The sequence below is a fragment of the Homo sapiens genome, chromosome 14, assembly GCF_000001405.40.
Source record: "Homo sapiens chromosome 14, GRCh38.p14 Primary Assembly".
In the NCBI taxonomy this organism is placed as follows: domain Eukaryota; kingdom Metazoa; phylum Chordata; class Mammalia; order Primates; family Hominidae; genus Homo; species Homo sapiens.
This window is the reverse complement of record NC_000014.9, coordinates 63,844,298-63,865,565: the sequence shown is the minus strand read 5'-3', so window position 1 is coordinate 63,865,565 and position 21,268 is coordinate 63,844,298. Positions and strand designations below refer to the sequence as shown.

The window sequence follows — 21,268 nt, the reverse complement described above, 5'->3', positions numbered from 1 at the left end:
CTAAAAATACAAAATCTACTCTCCTCCACTTGGGAGTAGCCTCCAGCTACTTGGGAGGCTAAGGCAGGAGAATCACTCTCCTCCACTCTCCACCCATAAAAGCCCTACTCATCATTCTAGGCCTGGCAATACACCCTCAGCTCAAATGGCAAATGCTTTACAAAATTAGCCCTAACTTCCCCAAAGTTGGCATCACTTGCTTTATGCACCCACAGCACCTTGCTTGTACTTCAGTTGGCACTTCTTCCATTCTAGATAATACTACAGTGACTTGTTTACAAGGCCATCTCCCCCAGTTCCTGAAGAATTAGGGCTCATATATGATTCATTTCTGACTGTCCCCTAAACACCTGATACCTAGCCCCTTGTGTACTGCACCCTTGAACTGAATGTAATAACTAGCATTTGTTACCATGTGTTCTATAGGTACTATGCTTTCTGTTACCTGTATTATCTCAGTAATATAAGTACGTGGGATTTTAGTTTCACTTTTACAGATGAGGAAACTCTACTCAGAGAGGTTAAGTAATTTGCCCAAAATAACACCTCTAGTATATGGCAAAGCTAGAATTTGAACCAGGGGTCAGACTGATTTCAGAACCCAAGCTTTTAACCACTACACTATACCACAGACATTTCTAAAATTCACTTGTTCCTATAGAATGTATGCACACGGAGTATTACTCAAGATCAACACCCCAGGAAATCATATTTAACCCTATCAGCACATGGAGGTCCTTTTGGTTCTGCTCTAGTCCAGGGGCATAAACAGGCAGACTCATGATATCCCAGATTCATTTATTTTTCTCCTTTTTTACCCCCACTCCCAGTCCTCACTACCCCTGAAAAACAAATTAGAAAAGAAATGATTTGGAAGGTAGAGATAAAAAAAGAATTCAATCTTTCACTCCTTGTAAGACACATAATAGTAACAGTAAGTGTATAAGATTTAGCAGCCATATATAACCTAAAAGAATCTGTTGGATCACTTCAAAACATGCTCACCCTGCTCAAACCTGAAATCAACAGCAGTTGCTAAGAAAACACATGACCGACTGCAAGACAACATGATGACTCACCCAAGGAACAAGCTTACCTTCCAGTTCTCAGAAACCATCACCAACAGAGAGTCTTTGTAACCAAATCATCAATCTGTGGTTACAAACATTCAGAAGTTTCTTTTCATCCAGCTCACAAGGGAATATAATCAGTACTGGATTAAACACTTTTATAAAATTAATTATTATCCAGCAGAGGGGAAACTTTCTGCAAAGAAAAATGTACAAAGACTACAAAGGTAACTTATTTTCTTTTAAACAAAGACGTATTAACAGAGGAAAGATTCTTACTCAACATCATCAAATGAGTGACTACAAAGGATATTCTAACAAGAGCAAGCTTAGTAACCTATTTTCTTTGCCATTACACAAGTGCAAATAATAAAACACATCTTGGCCAGGCGCCGTGGCTCACACCTGTAATCCCAGCACTTTGGGAGGCTGAGGCGGGTGGATCACCTGAGGTCAGGAGTTCGAGACCAGCCTGGCTAACCCCGTTTCTACGAAAAATACAAAAAATTAGTCAAGCGTGGTGCCGTGCGCCTGTAATCCCAGCTATTCAGGAGGCTGAGGCAGAATTGCTTGAACCCGGGAGGTGGAGGTTGCAGTGAGCCAAGATCACACCACTGCACTCCAGCGCTGGCAACAAGGGCGAAACTCCATCTCGAAAAAATAATGATAATAAAGATAAAAAAATAAAACATATCTTTAACTCTTTAATAAACAGAATTCTAATAAACAGAATTCATGATAATCATTCCTTTTTTTCTTTCTGAATCACTATCTCAAATTTTTGAACTAAAAGCTCTAATATGCATTATTCTATCAACAATCCCATCATACACTGGCTATAACTCACCATTATACTATAGTAACAGCTTATATGCATTTGAGTTGTGGGGGGTTTTTATTTGTTTTGGAGGCATGGGAGACAGTCTTGAACAGCTTATTTATGTTGTTGAAATGTACAATTAAGATAAAAATATCTTCTGAGTAATATTTTAAAATGAAAATTAGCTAACTCCTATGTTATGACCCATTAATTCATGTATCACACAGAAGCGGCTAAAGATGAAAATCTCAGTCATAAGTGATACAATCAGCTTTTCCTCAGGATACTACAACTTGTCCTCCAAAGCCAAAGTAGGAGAAAACAGGTGGTATGTCTGTAAATCAATTCTGTCCCCTCTCCAAACATGAACTATCCCATAACCTGATCTCCTACTAAATGTGTCATCTCGAACCTTGAAAAAAAGACACCATGGAGCACATTGACTAAGACGAACGGATTTTTAAAATGTATTATGCATCCCCACATGCTGAATACCTTTTCTTTCCAAATGAGGCAACATAACTGCTGAAATGAGTACTGAGAATTCTTAATTTACATATATTAAAAATCTGCCCCAAGGCCAGGCACGGTGGCTCAGGCCCATAATCCCAGCATTTTCGGAGGCTGAGGCGGGCAGGTCACTTGAGGCCAAGAGTTTGAGATCAGCCTGGCCAACATGGTGAAATTCCACCTCTACTAAAAATACAAAAATTAGCCAGGTGTGGTGGTGCATGCCTATAGCTCCAGCTACTCAGGAGGCTGAGGCAGTAGAATCACTTGAACCCAGGAGGCAGAGGCTGCAGTGAGCCAAGATCACGCCACTGCACTCCAGCCTGGCAACAGAGTGAGACTCTGTCTCCAAAAAAACAAAACAAAACAAAAAAAAAACAAAACTGCCCCAAAACCTTCTAATAAAAACTGCCCCAAAACCTAATATCTACCTTCCTAAAAACCTGCCTTTCAAATTAAAATTTCCCCTTCAAGTGCAACAATTCAATTTTGGCAGGGCATGCGTGTATAGTCTTTCTTACTATTCTAGAATATTATCTATAAGTATAATGCACATATTGCTAACATAATGACAGTAAATAAAATGTTTTAATAAAATGTATTCACGGTAGTGACAAGTATACTTATTTTTGCCAGGCACAGTGGTTCACGCCTCTAATCCCAGCCCCTTAGGAGGCTAAAGCAGGAGGATTTCTTGAGCCCAGAAGTTTGAGACCAGCCTGGGCAACACAGTGAGATCTCGGTCTCTACAAAATATCAAAACACGAGGCTGGAGGATCACTTGAGCCAAGGAGGTCAGGGCTGCAATAAGCCATAATCACACCACGCTGCACTCCCACCTGGGTGACAGAGCGAGACTTCGCCTCAACAACAAAAAAAGTATACTTTTAGTAGATGTTATGCAAATACGAATATATGTACATGTGTCCAACTGTTGTTTTGTTTTATCCAACTTTTGTGTAAATTAGCTCTAGATAAGTTTTATCTATAATGTAAGGGAAACCAGGAAATGGCTACACATGATTTGGTTTCAAATTCATTTCTAGCACTTTAATATCTCAAATAATTTAAAATCCAATTATTTAAGGATAAAATGATATGATGTATAAAATTTGCTTCAAAATAATCCAGCACGGGTGGGATATGTGAGGACCTGGGTAAAACCAGATTGACAGGATTTAATAATATTCATTCTGGGTAATCGTTATGCAATAGTACATTTTACTATTATCTCTGCTTTTGAATATATTTGAAATTTTTCATAATAAAGTTTTTTAAGTCCAATTTACTATTGCTCCACTGTCAAACATAACTGTATCATTTTGAATTTGTTTTATGTGCTCACTTCAACAACACACATAGTAAAATTGAATTTGTTTTACCTACATTCCTTTTTTTCTTTTTAGTCGGGGTCTCACTGTGTCTCTCACGGCTCACTGCAGCCTCAATCCCCCAGGCTCAGGCGATCCTCCCACCTCAGCCTCCCTAGTACCTGGGACTATAGACATGCACCACCATAGCCCAGCTAATTTTTTTTTTTGAGATTGGGGTCTCACTATGTTGCCCAGGCTGGTCTCAAACTCCTGGGCTCATGTGATCCTCTCGCCTCAGCCTCCCAAAATGCTGGGATTACAGGCATATGCTACAGTGCCCAGCCTACACTGCAATTAATGTTTTATATGATATTAGTGCCAACTAATGCTCTTAAAATACAACGGGGTAGGGCCAGGCACGGTGGCTCATGCCTGTAATCCCAGCACTTTGGGAGGCTGAGGTGGGCGGATCACGAGGTCAGGAGTTCGAGACCAGCATGACCAACATGGTGAAACCCCGTCTCTACTAAAAATACAAAAATTAGCTGGGCGTGGTGGTGCGCACCTGTAATCCCAGCTACTCAGGAGTCTGAGGTAGGATAATCGCTTGAACCCAGGAGGCGAAGGTTGCAGTGAGCTGAGATTGTGCCGCCGCACTCCAGCCTGGGCAACAGAGTAAGACTCCGTCTCAAAAAAAAAAAAAAAAAACAATGTGGTAAATATCACATTTCTTAACCATATGCATAGACTTGAAGAGCTGGAAAAAATCTCAAAGATTGTCTAATCCTCTATGCCCATGGTTCACAGTCTGGAGCATGCATCAGAATCACTTAGAAGGCTTATTAAACACAGATTGCTGGGCCCCACTGTCAAGGTTATACTCAATAGGTTGGCTGCTCCTGGTCCCTGGACCCTACTTTGAGAACCACTGCTCCAGCTGACCATGCTTTGCCCTGCTCATGTTTCCACTGCAGTGACTACCAATTACCCCACTGATTGCATGTTCCTCTGCTTATGGGCCTTTCTGCTTCTAGACAGCTTACAAGTGGCAAGAGACATTGACTTTTACCTGTGTGTCAGAGCCCAGATTCAATAAGTATTTAAAAAATAATTTGTTGAATGAATTAAATAGGGGTACATTTACACAGCCCGATAGAGAAGAGCTACTCACTGATAACAAACTGCACCCAGTGGTAGTACCCAAAGGAAGACTAAAAGTCAGCTGGAACCAGAGCAACAAGTAATTGGCAAATTCTAGGAAAATCCAAGCACCAAATCTCAGATTGAAATTTCCAATCAAATATGGACACTGACAAGCAAAAGCTTGAGGCTCCTTTTTGTCAAATGTGTTACTTTGACCTGAGGGGCTATTAGCAAGTGCTTTTCATCTCACACACCATCAAAAGAAAGAGATGCTTTCACACTTATCTTTCAACTCAACGTTTCTCAGGGTCTGGAAAATGTCAACACAGGAAGATTGATTCCTTCTCCCCATTCACCTCCCTCCTCCTAATGCAGCCCAGAGGAAAGAAAAGGAGGCAGTGCACCCTGCAGAACCTGTCTGGAGGGGAGGGTTCTCCAAGTGCAGGTGCTCTGAATATTGTAATACTCTGCAGTATTCTAAAATATGTTTCTATAACAGCAATGGTCTGCTCTATGATAATTTAGTGGATTTAGTTTAAGAAAATTAGTTTCTAGGCCAGGCACAGAGGCTCACACCTATAATCCTAGTACTTTGGGAGGCCAAAGCAGGCAGATCACTTGGGCCAGAGAGGCAGAGGTTGCAGTGAGCCAAGATGGTGCCACTGCACTCCAGCCAGCTGGGCAACAAAGCTAGACAGACAGACAGATGGTAGGAACGAAGGAAGGAAGGGAGGAAGGGAGGGAGGGAGGGAGGGAGGGAGGGAAGGAAGGGGAGAAGGGAGAAAGAGAGAGAGAAAGAAAAGAGAGAAAGGAGGGAGGAAAGGAGTGGAGTCCACTCCTTTAGTGCAGGCTGCACATAGTGACTTGCTTCTTTCTTTGTTTTCTCTTTTTCCCGAGGCAGAGTCTTGCTCTGTTGCCCAGGCTGGACTGCAGCGTCATGATCTCAGCTCACTGTAACCTCCACCCCCTGAGTTCAAGCAATTCTCCTGCCTCAGCCTCCCAAGTAGCTGGAATTACAGGCATGTGCCACCACACCCAGCTAATTTTGTATTTTTAGTAGAGATGGGATTTCACTATGTTGGCCAGGCTGGTCTCCAGCTCTTGACCTCGTGATCCGCCTGCCTTGGCCTCCCAAACTGCTGGGATTACAGGTGTGAGCCACCACGCCCAGCCAATTTTAAAAGTATTTTTAACTAAATACAAATAAAATCACACCATATCAAAATTTGTGAGATGTCACTAAAGTAGTACTGAGGAATAAATTTAAAAGACTAAACACCTATATCAGAAAAGAAGAAAAGTCACAAATCAATGACCTAAGGAAACTGGAATAAGAACAAATTAAACCCAAAAGTAGAAGGGAAAAATAAAGATCTGAGTGAAAATCAATCAAAGGGAAAATAGAAAAATATTAAACAATATCAATGAAACCAACAGCTGGTTCATGGAGTTCAATAAAATTAATAAACCTCAAGCCTAGAGTGTCTCAACCCTGGCACTACTAACACTTTGGCTGAATAATTCTCTATTGAGAGGATCTCACCTATCCACTGTAGGGTATCTAGCAGCATCCTAGACTTCTGCCCAGTAGATGGCTGGGAACAAATGCCCCTCGTCCCTACACCAGACATGGTTTCCAGACACTGTCTCCAAAAATTACCAAATGTTCCTGGCATAGGTGGGGTAAACTTCCACCCATATTCACACCATAAACAAAAATTAAAGTACATGAACCTAAATGTTAAACCAAAACCTATAAAAATTTTAGAAAAAAATCATAGGAGAAAGCCTTTTTGACTTTGAATTAGGCAGATTTCTTAGATAATAATACCAAAAGTACAATCCATAAAGAATAAATTGACAAATTGTACTTCATCAAAATTAAGAACAGTATCTTCAAAAGATATTGTTAAGAGAATGTAATAAATTTGCTATGGTTTAAATGTCCCCTCCAAAACTCTGGTGAAATTTAATCGCCATCGTAACATTATTAAGAGGCAATACTGTTACAATATTACAGTATTAAGAGATGGAACTTTTATCAGGTGATAGGTTATAAGGGCTCTGCTGTCATTAATGGATTAATGCCATCATCGCAGGAGTGGGTTCCTTATAAAGGAATAAATCAGGCTGAGAGTGGTGGCACGCACCTGGAGTCCCAGCTACTCAGGAGGCTAAGGCAGGAGAATCGCTTGAACCTGGGAGGCAGAGGTTGCAGTGAGCTGAGATCAAGCCACTGCACTCCAGCCTGGGCAACACAGCGAGATACTGTCTCAAAAAAAAAAATAGGCTGGGTGCAGTGGCTCATGCCTGTAATCCCAGCACTTTGGGAGGCCAAGGTGGGCAGATCACTTGAGGCCAGGAGTTCAAGACCATCCTGGCCAACACAGTGAAACCCTGTCTCTACTAAAAATCAAAAAAAAAAAAAAAAAAAAAAAAAAAAAAAAGGCCGGTGTGGAGACGCACACCTGTAATCCCAGGTACCACAATCACTAGAACCCAGGAGGCAGAGGTTGCAGTGAGCTGAGACTGTGTCACTGCACTCCAGCCTGGGTGACAGAGTGAGACTGTGTCTTAAATAAATAAATAAATAATAAAATAAAAATAATAAAACAGCTCCATTTTGCTTCTTTCTCACCCTCTCTTTGCCCTTCTGTCATGTAATGATACAGCAAAAATGCTCTCACCAGATGTCGCCCCATCAATCTTAGACTTCCCAGATTCTAGAACCATGAGCCAATAAATTTCTGTTCATTATAAATTACCCAATCTATGGTATTCTGTAATGGCAGCACAAAATGGACTAAGATAAGACTGAATGGAAATATTTGCAAATCTTACACGTGACAAATGACTTGCATCCAGAATACACAAAGAACTCTCAAAACTCAATAAGAAGGAAAACAATGCAAGAAAACGGGCAAAAAATTTGAGTAGACACTTCAACAAAGAAGATAAATGGATGGTAAATAAGCATATGAAATGATGCTCAACATCATTAGTCATCAGGGAAATGGAAATTAAAACCACAATGAGGTGTCACTACACACCCAACAGAATGGCTATAAAAGCCTAACCACCCCAACTGTTGGCAAGGATCTGGGGCAACTGGAACCCTCATAGACTATTTTGGTTATATTATATAACCACTTTGGAAAAGTATAGTAGTTCTTTGAAAAATTAAACATATGCCTACCATAGGATCTAGTCATTCTACTCCTAGACATCTACCCAGGGGAAATGAAAGATATGCATACAAAGACTGTGTATAATGTTCATGGCAGCTTTATTTTTAATAGCCCAAAACCAGAAACAACCTAAATGTCTATCAATGGGTGAAAAGATACATGAACTGGCGTCTATCAGTACAATGGAGTATTACTTAACAATAAAAAGAAATCAGCTATTGATACAATGTGGATGAGTCTCAAAATAATTATGCTAAGCAAAAGCCAGGCAAAGAAGAGAACTTACTACATGATTCCATTTACATAACATTCTAAAAAACGCAAACTAATCCACAGAGACAGAAAGCTATCATTGGCTGGATGAGGAAGAGGGATTCAGGGTATAGCAAGGAGCTACAGGGAGACAGTTCCACAGGTCTATACATAAGTCAAAAACTTCTCAAATGTAAACACGAGGCCAAGGGCAGACTCATGCCTGTAATCCAGCACTTTGGGAGGCTGAGGTGGGAGGATCACTTGAGGCCAGGAGTTGGAGACCAGCCTAGGCAACATGGTGAGACCTCTTCTCTACAAAAAAATTCACAGTTGGCCAGGCATGGTAGTGTGCACCTGTAGTCAGTTACTTGGGAGGCCGGGGTGGGAGAATCACTTGGGCCCAGGAGGTAGAGGCTACAGTGAGCCATGATCGCACCACTGTACTCCAGCCTGGGTGATAGAACGAGACCTTGTCTCAAAAAAATAAAATAAGTGAATTTACACTACTCCAGACATAATCTTTTATTTGATGAAAGTAGGAAAGGGGGCATTATGACACAGATCCTTTGTACATGTGAAAGCAAGCATTTTGTCTTTAAAAAGAAAAAAAGGAGGGGAACATACAGTGAAGACTCAGAGAATAGGCTATTGTATTTAATATTATTTCTTAATTAAGATGTTGCCAATCTGAAATATTTCACAATAATAAAAAAGGAAAAATGATTGTATGTTTCCAATTTGGCCTGTCCCACTCCCAGGCAGAACTAGGGGCTTCCCTCCTCCCACAGCCCCCAGGAGCACATGTGTATACTGCAATAGCTTGTCTTCCCACTAGACTAACAGCTTCACCAGGACAGGGACTGTCTTTTGATTTTGACATAGTGGTCAGATACAGGTTCGTTAGAGTCTGCGAGCCTGGCTTTGTATTCTAGGCGCTGCCACTCACCTACTGCATAATCTCAGAAAGTTATTCAATCTCCCTGATGCCCAGTTTCTTAAACCATAAAAAGGGCTAATAGGCTACATATGAGGATTCCATGTTAATTTCTCCAGAAAGGCCCTGCATGATCTGACACCTGATTTCCACCCTGTCATTTAGTCCTACCCTCCCTTAACTTGACAGTGCTCAGCCACAATGACCTCTCAGTTCCAATAAATCCACACACCACCTAGCTCTTTCCTGCCTGGAGGCCTTTGAGCATCCTATCTCTCGGCCGGATCTTCTTCCATGCCTGTCTCCTCTCTACAACCTCTTATGCCACAACAACATGGCTAGCTCCTTCTCATCTTCAAGTCTCAGTTAAATGTCACTTCCACCTAGAGGCCTTCTCACCAGTATTCTAGGAGGCCTTGGTTATTCCATGTCCCAGCACTCTGTTATACCCTTCTTTCCACTCAACACTCATTCAAGTTATTGAGGACCTGCTATACGCCAGTTACCGTTCCAGATTCTGAAGGTGTAACAGTGAATAAAACAGCTGTGATACAGTTCTGAAGGATATAAAATCTCCCGAAAAAGACAGACAATAAACAAGCAACATATGATATAGCCATAAGTGCTACGGAGGAAAAATAACAACTTATGAAAGGAGGAATGGGAGTCGCGAGGATGGCTGTGATTTTAAATTTGGAGGTTAGTGAAGGCTCACTGACAAAATAACATCAAGTAAAGAAGTGAAGGGGGTCAGATCAACAAGAGCCATTAGAGATATGGGAGCTAGGGACAGGGGGTCATTCCAGGCAGCGCACAACAAGTCCAAAGGCCCTCATGCAGCAAGAAAGCTGGTTTGGCTGTAGACACTCGAGTAGGGAGGAGAGCAACAGATAAGATAGGAAAGTCACAGCATGGAGAGGCAGGGAAGCCAAAAGAGGTTGTTCTGGGAGCCACTGTCAGGTCTTTGCCATTCACTCAGAGAGACATAGGAAGCCAATGGAGGGTTTTGAACAGAAGAATGATGTGATATGATTTACCTTTCAAAAGCTGCTATTAGTTTAGCAATATATTTTATTTCCTGCCTAGATTCCCCACCTAGATAAGGGCAGGAATCACGACTGTCTTGTGCACCACTATCGCCCCAACACCCAGCACAATACATTGTAGGTACTCAATAAATACTTATAGATGAAAAAGGTAAAAAGGTAATCTATGTAAAATATCTACTGGTATAAAATAAGCATTCTATAAGGAGTAACTATTATTATTCAGATCTCCAGAAGCCAGCACAGTGGCTGGTATATGTAGGAGTTTGAGTAAATGAATAAATAACTTTGTGAAATTATTGAAAATATATATTTAAAACATATAAGTAATGAAAAATATAATAATGAAAAATGAACCAATTGCTTTTCACCCGTTCCCTTATTAAAATGTGATTCATTCAGTTTTTAAATTTTACATTAACTCTCACCTTATGCTAGTGAGAGCACTACTCAGAATAACCTCATTGTGACTCAGTTCTCTAAACATTCTGTAATATCCTACAACACAATTAACACGAATCCACTGAAATGCTAAAAAATTTCTAATTAGGTAAATTTATTCACATGATTTTTCAAACAATTTTAAGGCTAGCTGACCAAAAGTGGTTTGAGTTTGATTTTTTAAAAATTCAGATAAGCTTTGTTAATTCAAACATGTGGACAAAGACCTAAACATTTCCACTTTTTACTTATTTTGACATCTCCATTCTTCACCACGAAAAAACTTAATGAGGATTACACCTGTTCCCACCGCCCCAGGGGGCTGGCCGGGCTAAAGCCGTTCAGTAATTATCTCAGGAAAAGCCCTTAAGAGTCTCCACAGCTTTCCAGAAAGACAACTTGGAGAAGGAGTCATGCATTAAAGCATGAAAACACACCAAATATTCATCCCATAAAAGCTGAACACTCTCCTCTGAACATGTTTACGATGTCTCAGTGGCAGGTACTGGAGTGGTGAGAAGGCCAGGTGTAGCCCGGCATGGTTTAATTGTATTCCCCAACTCTAAAAATGATCGAACCCATCCTAGCATAGCCAAATAGTATCTGCAACGAAGCCTTCGGACTTCTAGAAAAGCACACAAAAGTTGCTTCAAATAAAACAAACTCAAAAAAAAAAAAAAAAGTGATGCCAAGTGTGGAGCGGCTTGAAAGAACCCTCACGGGTTGGCTCCGACTTGCTGGTGCTTGTACACAACCGTGCCTGCGGCGTCCAGCTCAGACGCTCCCTTTCACGGAGGGAGGGGGAAATAACTTTCGGAAACAGCAGGCTTCCACAAACGCGAATGCTACACAGGACTTCTCAGCCTCAATCAAATAAGGCGCTAATGTTCCCAGCAGCACTGATTCCATACACAGCCCCCGCCCCGCCCTTTTCAACAGAAGAAAAATAACCTAAGGAGGAGAAGGTGCCACCGTCAGACCCTAAAGGCAATTTCAGACAACAAAGACCCCAAGCAATCAAAATGGAATTATAATCCCGGCCGTCGGAGCGCCCCCCCGCCCCCGCGGAGGCGCTAGGCTGCCGCACCCGCCGCCGCCCCTCCAGTGCCCGGGCCGCCCGTCCCCGCGCCCTCTCCAGCCCCGGTGCGCCCCGACCCGCGGGTTCCCGGGTCCCCGGGGCGAGCACCGCACCGCTCACGATCCTGCAATCTCTGCGCCGCGGCTGTCCGCCTTCCAGCTCACGCGGCGTTCAAAATCTTTCCCGCCCAGGCGTGACGCGAGGAATGAAAACAATCAGCGGCCCCCGAGGGCCGGGGCCTGGGCCCGGGAGGGGGCGGCCGGGGCACCCGGGCACAGCCTCCCGCGCAGCGCCTGCCCGAGCCGGGCGGACCGGCGGGCTGGGGCCCGGAGGTGACACAAAGAACCCAGAGAGACAAACGCCACCCGCTGGCGCTCGCTCCAATCCCCGGAGCGCCCCGCCCGCTGACAAGTTTACGGCGCCCTCCGCGCACCCCGCTCTCCCCACCCGAGCAAAGTTTCCTGTGGCCCGGCTCGGACCCCGGCATCGGGTCGGTTCCCGTCTCCCGCCGCCCCCGCCCCCGGCTCAGAGACCTTTCCCTCTCTCGCCCCCGCCCCTTCCCCTCCCTCCCACTCTCTCCGGGGCGCACCGGGGTGCTGGGGCCCCGCGGCCGCGCTCACCCACCGTCCGCCCGGCCGAGGGGCAAGGGCGCGGGCCGGGGCCGCCCGAGGTCGGCGCCCCGCTTGCCTGGCTCTCTGGATCGCGCCTTTTGCTCGCTCTCCCTCTCGCTTTTTCAGGTCCGGCCGAAGGCTCTGGGCGCAGCTGAGCGCGCTCCGCTCCTTGGCGCTCGGAAAGCGGCAAACCACGCCCCGCGCCTTCCCCGCCCGCCGCCCGCCTCCGGGTCCCGCGCTCGCCCCTCGGCGGCCAGTGTAGAGCGCGCCCGCCAGCGCCGGGGCGGAGCAGCAGGCCCCGCCGCAGCCCGGGGCGGGCAACTTTCTCCCCGTCTTTTGGGACATCAGAGGTGGTGTGAGGGAGAGACCACCTCGCAATGCAGGTTCGCGACCCTTTTCTTACCCGGGGCTGGGTGAACAGGAGCCACAAGCTCCCTCAAAAAGCTCTTCTGGAGGATTTCAGGAGGGGTCTTCTCCAACACCCGTAGATTCCTGGGTCTTGGAAGTAGGAGTTAGAGAGCAGATCTGCGATTAGCTACCAGACCATGAGCAAGTCATTTCACCCCGCGGGCTCTTTGTAAAACGAGGACTTTGGATTCGAAGGCCTTTAAAATCTGGATCCGTATTTCGTAGTGTGGTCCGGATCTTGGGGTCACCTGGAGAGAAGGGGAGGCGTTTGTTAATGCAGATAACTGGGTTCCTCCTTCCCCTTGGATGAGGGGAAGTGGAGAGCTGTCTCAGTCGTCCGACCTGACATACATCATCCAGGTCTGAAAACTCACTGCGAACTGCATCCTTGGAACTGCGTCTTGCAGGTGCCAGTTTGATTTTCCAGCCCATAATCAGTCCCTTTGGACCCAGGATGATGCCACTTGACACCCACTTACCTCTAGCGCTGTGATTACCGTATTACTAAGGCACTTGAAGTTCCAAATAAAAGGCGCACCTCACTATTATTACATTAAAAAGCAGCGGATTTTCAATATTTCTCTATTGAGTTTCTATCACAATCAAATTTAACTTTTTCATTTTTTAGACAGGGTCTCACTCTGTCGCCCAGGCTGGAGTACAGTGGCGCGATCTAAACTCACTGCAGCCTCTACCTCCTGGTCTCAAGATATCCTCCAGCCTCAACCCCCCCCCCCCATTTCATCCATTTCATTCCCCCCCCCCCCCCCCCCGCTTAGTAGCTGGGACCACAGGCGCACGACACCACACCGGTAATTTTTGCATTTTTTTAGAGTCGGGGTTTGGCTGTGTTGCCCAAGCTAGTCTCAAACTCCTGGCCTCAAGTGATCCTCCCACCTCAGCCTCCCAAAGTGCTAGGATTACAGGCATGAGCCACTGCAACCGGCCTTAACTTTTCTTAAAACTCCAAGTTCATATATATGTCTGTGGCTACAGAATCTTGCCTGAATTATTTAAGTGACTCAAACTAGATGGCAAAGAGCAGAGATTAGACGTTTGATAATGCATTCAGCAAACATATATTAATGGGAAAAATTAGTTGTAAGTTGTACCCACAATTTGGAACAATTGTTTCAAAAACGTTTACCTCTGTGACTACCAGGATGATTCAGGCAAATTATTTGAAATGCACATTTTATTAATGGTCAGTAGCTCAACTCTTCACAAATGCAGAGTTCCTTGTATTCCTAGATTATCCTTCCAATGGTATCACTTCTCAGACTACCTAGCTTTGCATGATTTATTAACAATGGCTTGAGTCACAACAAAGCTCTATAAACCAAAAAGAACTTTCTGGGTTTTTTTGTTTGTTCGTTCGTTTGTTTTTTGAGACAGAGTCTTGCTCTGTTGCCCAGGCTGGAGTGCACTGGTGCAATCTTGGCTTACTGCAAACTCTGCCTCCTGGGTTCAAGTGATTCTCCTGCCTCACCTTCCCAAGTAGCTGGGATTACAGGCGCCCGCCACCATGCCTGGCTAATTTTTGTATTTTTAGTAGAGATGGGGTTTCACCATCTTGGCCAGGCTGGTCTTGAACTCCTGACCTCGTGATCCATCCACCTCGGCCTCCCCAAGCGCTGGGATTACAGGCATGAGCCACCGCATCCGGCCATATGCTGTCTTTTCCTAAAACCACTTTGCTTGATGGGTTGGAGAGTTGCAAGCTGGAGAGCCAATTTTAGGGAGAAGTTGGGCTCTAGGATTTGTGGAGCTGTATACAAAGCATTGTCTGCTATTTTTCTCTTCTCGGTTCTATTCATTTCCATTCTATGTCTATTGCTTTCTTTACAGTAAATCCTGCAAAATCATAATGGTAACAGTCTCTGGAGAAAATGTTACAATTTCCTAGTCATTGTTTCCTTCCAGGCATCTATGTTACAAGCCCTTGTTGAAGTGAAAGAACTGTTGCTCCATGTTGTCTAGTACACCTTAAAGAGTCCAGAATACAATGTCTCAAAATATTTTTAGGTGTCTCTAATTAGACCCTTCTAATTACCTGTGGTGTCTCTTAGCCATCCTAGTTTGGATATTAAATTAATACATACTTTTAAATCAGCAGATTAAACTAATGACAAGTGCAATGAAACAGATCCTCTGTACTTTGAAGTGATAATCAAATGTTAATGTTAAGCCAAACTGAGACATACCTAGTTCTTTTAAAACACAACCCTGGGCCTATAAATGGATGGCTCATATGGTTACATCTCTGACTAGGAAACAGTAAGGGTTGCCATGAACCTGGCCATGCGTACACTCTTCCATGTACCGAAATACAAATGTAGTGTGATAACATAGTATGTTGTCGGCCAGGTGCAGTGACTCCCACCTGTAATCCCAGCACTTTGGGCGGCTGAGGCAGGTGGATCACCTGAGGTCAGGAGTTCGAGACCAGCCTGGCCAACATGGTGAAACCCCGTCTCTACTAAAAAAAAAAAAAAAAAAAAAAGCTAGGTGTGGTGGCTCATGCCTGTAATCCTAGCTACTTGGGAGGCTGAGGCAGGAGAATCGCTTGAACCCAGGAGGCAGAGATTGCAGTAAGCCGAGATCATGCCGTTGCACTCCAGCCTGGGCAACAAGAGCGAAACTCCATCTCAAAAAAAAAAAAAAAAAAAGTATGTTGTCATATTATGCCCCATGCCCCATCAATCCTCTGTATTTTATAACAAATGATCCGTTGGGCTCAACAGCCTGCCTGAGAGACTTTGCTAACTCCAATTGCAATAAGCATAAGTTTTGCAAGTTGATCAAAATGAAAGCACATCTGTGACTTGGTACACAAACATACTGTGACACATGGGTGAGAACCACAGAAGTAGACATTCCGCATATACTTGCACAGCGTACTGAGCAGGTGAACCAAGAGTCACTAACAAAAATCATGGTCTAAGGAACTCAAGAGAGTTGGCCATCCTCATGCCATTAAAGAAATGCTAAATTCACCACTCTAAGTTAGGCAGCAACTCCTCCCTGTCGCCCGATCTCATGGCACAAGAGTTGCTATTTATATTTCTGCATCCCACCCTCATGTGTTTATACTTGCATCCTGAGTGCCTAAACAAGGATGGCAACAGATTTTATCTTAGGAGCTAATTCCAGTCTTATACTTGGGTGCCATGTTTTAAAAAATTGTGGGGTTCCATCTAGATTTGGCAAGGAAGTATACAAGTTGATTAATGACTGATTCTCTGTCATGGGCACAGAAGGTGGTAGTGTGACAATGCTATCATGTATTTATCAACCCTGGTGGTAATAGGAGATAATAATGTTAAGTGATTCACCAGATGGGTAAGTGAATTTAAAAACAACACAAAGTCTCTTCATCTGAAGAAGCAGGTATAATATTCATTAATCTGAGGCAAGGTGAGACCATCTCATTACTTATTCCTATTGCATTACTATGTTACTGCAAAAAAAAAAAAAAAAAAAGGAGATTAACTTAGTGCTAAACACTCCTTGTTATGCTATCTCTGTCTAACTCAAGGAACAATCTTTGGCTACAATATTTTTTACCACTTTGGGAGCACTTGTATAAACCTGGATGAAAATAGCTAGCCAAGAAAACAGCTCTGTTTTTCCAAGAGTTGGATCACACCCTGTAAAGGCCAGAGCTCCTTATCTCATTCTGGTCTTGTTTCCTGTCAAACTTGGAAACTAACAGAAATAAATGTTGGCTAATTGCTCCCTTGACTAATGGTTCTTTCTGACCATTGTCCTAATAAAAGTAGAAAGTTGCATCCAACAAGATGCAAGTTGTGTATTGCCAGTTGAACCATAGTCCAACATCCTAGAGATTGAGGAAAAATTAAAAGGAAGATGCCATGATTCAGTGGAGCTGTGTACGTGAAGTGCCAAGCGTGGAGCCTGGTGGGCAGTGAGCACTAAACAAATGATAGCTGTCATTATTGCAATTATTTCAGTCAGTAACTGCGGGGCTTGGAAGAGTATCATTTCAAAAGCACTTTATTGAATAGGTCAATTAAAGTATTAGATTTTAAAAATTCCATAACCGACGTCAGTTTACACAGGAGAAGACTAAAGGCTTAAAGTATTTGCCTAATAAAACTGGTAGTGTCCGTCCCTGAATTAGAACCTGGACATGTTTTTAACAGAAATAAATGCATCATTTAAAGAAATCCTGTTGTATGTCTTGTTTGTTTTACCCTCAAATGCAAAGTGATGCATTAATCATATTGCTCAGCTCACAATAAAAACAATAAAAATAAGAGACATTAACATTTCTCTGTCAGGCTAAGATAGGTCTAACCAGCCAAATTAAGCAAGGATATAAAAACCTTAAACAATATATTAATAATAAATAAGATAGACCTTGGCTGGTCTGAGTGCAGTGGTGTTTACAACTAATTGATCACAACCAGCTACAGATTTCTTTGTTCCTTCTTCACTCCCACTGCTTCACTTGATAAGCCTTTAAAAATAAATAAATAATAACATAGACCTGCTGGATATGATATATGGTAAAGTTTACACTTCAAAAATACAGAAAGGGCCAGACGAGGTGGCTGATGCCTGTAATCCCAGCAATTTGGGAGGTTTAGACAGGTGGATCACCTGAGGTGAGGAGTTCGAGACCATCCTGGACAGCATGGTGAAACCCAGTCTCTACTAAAAATATGAAAATTAGCCAGGCATGGTGGTGAGCGCCTGTAATCCCAGCTACTTAGGAGGCTGAGGCAGGAGAATCGCTTGAACTCCAGAGGCAGAGGTTGCAGTGAGTTGAGATTGCACCACTGCACTCCAGCCTGGGCGACAAGAGTGAAACTCCATCTCAAGAAAAACAAAAAAATAGGCGGGGCATGGTGGCTCATGCCTGTAATCCCAGCACTTTGGGTGGCCAAGGTGGGTGGATCACCTGAGGTCACGAGTTCAAGACCAGCCTGGCCAACACGGTGAAACCCCATCTCTACTAAAAATACAAAAATTAGCCAGGTGTGGTGGCCCACACCTGTAATCCCAGCTACTTGGGAGGCTGAGGCAAGAGAATCACTTGAACCCAGGAGGCAGAGGTTGCTGTGAGCCGAGATCCCGCCACTGCACTCCAGCCTGGGCGACAGAGCGAGACTCCGTCTCAAAAAAAAAAAAAAAAAATACAGAACATACTTTCTTCCCAAGCACATATGGAGTCAGCAATGAAAATTGGCTATATCATAAGGAAATTTTCAATAGTAGAATAAAGCAAATAAAGCAAATTTTATTTTATTTCCTTTTATTTTATTTGAGATAAGGTCTCATGCTGTCACTCATGCTGGAGTGCAATGGTATGATCATGGCTTATTGCAGCCTCGACCTCCTGGGCTCAAGTGATCCTCCCACCTCAGCCTCCTGAGTAGCTGGGACTACAGCAGGCACATGCCACCACACCCAACTAATTTATTATTATTATTATTATTTTGTAAAAGCAGGGTCTCTATATGTTACCCAGGTTGGCCTTGAAGTGCTAGGCTCAAGCAATCCTCCTACCTTGGCCTCTCAAAGTACTGGTACTATAGGCGTGAGCCACATCATCAGGCTCATTTTAGTTAAACAATAATTAGTGAGTAAATAATATAATAAGCTGGGTGCTGTGGCTCACGCCTGTAATCCCAGTACTTTGAGAGGCCAAGACAGGAGGATCGCTTGAGCCGGGGAATTCAAGACCAACCTGGGCAACACGGCAAGACTTTGTCTCTATTTTTTTTTAATTTTAAATAAATAAACAATATAATAAAACTAGAAATCAGTAACAAAAACAGAAGACAAGTAGTTCTTTCCACCTGGAAATTTTAAAGTGCCCTATTAGGCCAGGTACATGGTTCACACCTATAATCCCAACACTTCGAGAGGCAGAGGCAGGCAGATAAGTTGAGGTCAGGAGTTGGAGACCAGCCTAGCCAACATGGTGAAACCTCGTCTCTACTAAAAATACAAAAATTAGCCAGGCATGGTGGCACATGCCTGTAGTCCCAGCTACTCAGGAGGCTGAGGCAGGAGAATCACCTGGAACCCAGGATGCAGAGGTTGCAGTGAGCTGAGATTGTGCCGCTACACTCCAGCTTGGGCAACAGAGGGAGACTCCATCTCAAAACAAACAAACAAACAAACAAAAAACAGAAAAAAAAACCTGAATAAATAAAGTGCCCTACTAAACAACTGTTGGATGAAATGGAAAACAGAATTAAAATTGAGCTTGAATAATTTCTAAAAAATAATAATGAAAACAATACATATCAAAGTCTGTAAAAAAATCGGTGACTAAAGAAAAATTTATAGTTTTAAATATTTCTATTGCTAAAAATGAAAGAACGGCCAAAAATGAATTTGATTTCTCACTGATGCACCTAAACCAGCTACACACACGATGGCTCTCACCTATAATCCTAGCACTTTGGGAGGCCGAGGCAGGCAGATGGCTTGAGCCCAGGAGTTTGAGACCAACCTGGGCAACATGGTGAGCCCCTGTCTCTCCAAAAAGTACAAAAATTAGCCAGCATAATGGTGCGTGCCTGAGGTCCCAGCTCCTCAGGAAGCTGTGGTGAGAGGATTGCTTGGGCCCAGGAGTTGAGGCTCTGGTGAGCCATAATAGCACCACTGCACTCCAGCCTGGGCAACAGAGCCAGAACCTTGTCTCAAGAGGAAAAAAAAAAAAAAAAAGGGCAGGTACGGTGGCTCACGCCTGTAATCCCAGCACTTTGGGAGGCCAAGGTGGGTGGATCACCTGGGGTCAAGAGTTTGAGACCAGCCTGGCCAACATGGTGAAACCTCCTCTTTACTAATAATACAAAAAAAGCTAGCTGGGCATGGTGGTGCATGCCTGTAATTCCAACTTCTCAGGAGGCTGAGGCAGGAGAATCACCTGAACCTGGGAGGTGAAGGTTGCAGTGAGTTGAGATCAAACCACTGCACTGCAGCCTGGGCGACATAGTGAAACTATGTCTCAAAAAAAAAAAAAAAGAAAAGAAAAAAGAAACCTAAATCAAAGTAAATCAAAGAAAAGCAGATTACCCCTTAATAGTTCAAGGTATTAAAAACAAAGAAAGAAAAAGAAAAGCGAAAGTAAAATAAAGATAAAGCAGAAATCAATTATGTCAAATACAGAGAACCAATGTATAAATTACCATGCCAATTATTTGAGGAAACAATTTAATGACAGACCACTAATTAATCAAAACAAGAAGAAGAAAGTATAACACTAAATTTTAAAAAATAAGAGAAGTATAGCCATTGAAACAGAAAATTACATAGTATTATGAAAATACATTTGACTTTTTTTTTTTTTTTGAGACAGAGTTTTGCTGTTGTCACCCAGGCTGGAGTGCAATGGCATGATCTCGGCTCACTGCAACCTCTGCCTCCTGGGTTCAAGTGATTCTCCTGCCTCAGCCTCCCAAGTAGCTGGGATTACAGGTGCCCACCACCATGCCTGGCTAATTTTTGTAATTTTAGTAGAGACGAGGTTTCACCATTTTGGCCAGGCTGGTTTTGAACTCCTGACCTCAGGTGATCCACCTGCCTCGGCCTCCCAAAGTGCTGGGATTACAGACATGAGACACTGTGCTCAAAAATACATTTGAAAGCCTAGATTTAATGGAACTTGCAATATGCCAAAATTAATTTCAGTAGAGATAGATAGCCTAGACAAACCTATTTTACTAGAAAAAATAAAGATATAAAATAACTATCCACACAAAAAAGTATGAGGCCCAGATGGCTTCATGAGGAATTATTCTAAATTTCCAAAGATCTGATACTTAGATGCTGCTACATAAATTGTTTTGCAGCTTTTTCCTTTTATTTCTTTTTCTTTTTATTTAAAATAGAGACAGGGTCTTGCTATGTTGCTCAGGGTGGTCCTGAACTCCCAGCCTCAAGAGATTCTCTCGCCTTGGCCTCATAAAATGCTAAGATTACAAGCATGAGCCACCACACCCGGCTTGGACCATTTTAAAATAAGAAAAACTTCCCAATTGTTTTATGAAGCCAGTGACATTTTATGAAGCCAATCAATATAATATTGATTCCACAATCTGACAAAGACTGTACAAAAAAGTCTATAAACTACTCTCATTTATGAATATGAATGTAAAAAAAAATTCCAAGTCAAGTATTAACAGCAGAATCCAAAAGCACATTTTAAAAATACTTTATGTAATCTTGCTCCTTGGTATTTACCCAAATGAGTTAAATACTTACATTCACACAAAAACCTGTAAGTGAATGTTTATAGCAGCTTTATTCACATTGCCAAAACTTGGTAGCAACCAAGATGTCCTTCAGTAAGTAAATGGATAAATAAATTGTGTTAAACCCAGACAATTGAATATTATTCAGTGCTAAAAAGAAATGAGCTACCAAACCATGAAAAGACAAGGAAGAAACTTAAGTGCATGTTACTAAATA

At 43.0% G+C, this 21,268-nt stretch overlaps 1 protein-coding gene across 29 annotated transcripts in view, besides 2 other annotated features; it reads right to left on the bottom strand.

The window, feature by feature from the left end:
- SYNE2 (spectrin repeat containing nuclear envelope protein 2) overlaps positions 1 to 21,268 on the bottom strand; it is a 464,854-nt gene that overhangs the window by 360,884 nt on the left and 82,702 nt on the right. For 21 of the 29 annotated variants that reach the window (XM_011536574.2, XM_011536578.2, XM_011536579.2 and 18 more), the window contains exon 1: positions 12,423 to 12,562. The gene's annotated coding sequence lies outside the window, so the exon portion shown is untranslated. Of the gene's footprint in view, positions 1 to 1,096; positions 11,386 to 11,911; positions 12,138 to 12,231; positions 12,330 to 12,418; positions 12,563 to 12,812; positions 13,066 to 21,268 lie in introns of those variants that run through there. The other 8 variants (XM_047431152.1, XM_011536576.3, XM_047431149.1 and 5 more) reach the window with 7 other exon arrangements.
- Positions 1,135 to 1,194: an enhancer, noted in NCBI's record as "active region_8519". NCBI's record gives its function as "activates an Ori minimal core promoter by ATAC-STARR-seq in GM12878 lymphoblastoid cells {active_cell/tissue: GM12878}" and the evidence as "EXISTENCE:reporter gene assay evidence [ECO:0000049][PMID:35858748]".
- Positions 11,792 to 12,771: a silencer, noted in NCBI's record as "silent region_5831". NCBI's record gives its function as "represses an Ori minimal core promoter by ATAC-STARR-seq in GM12878 lymphoblastoid cells {active_cell/tissue: GM12878}" and the evidence as "EXISTENCE:reporter gene assay evidence [ECO:0000049][PMID:35858748]".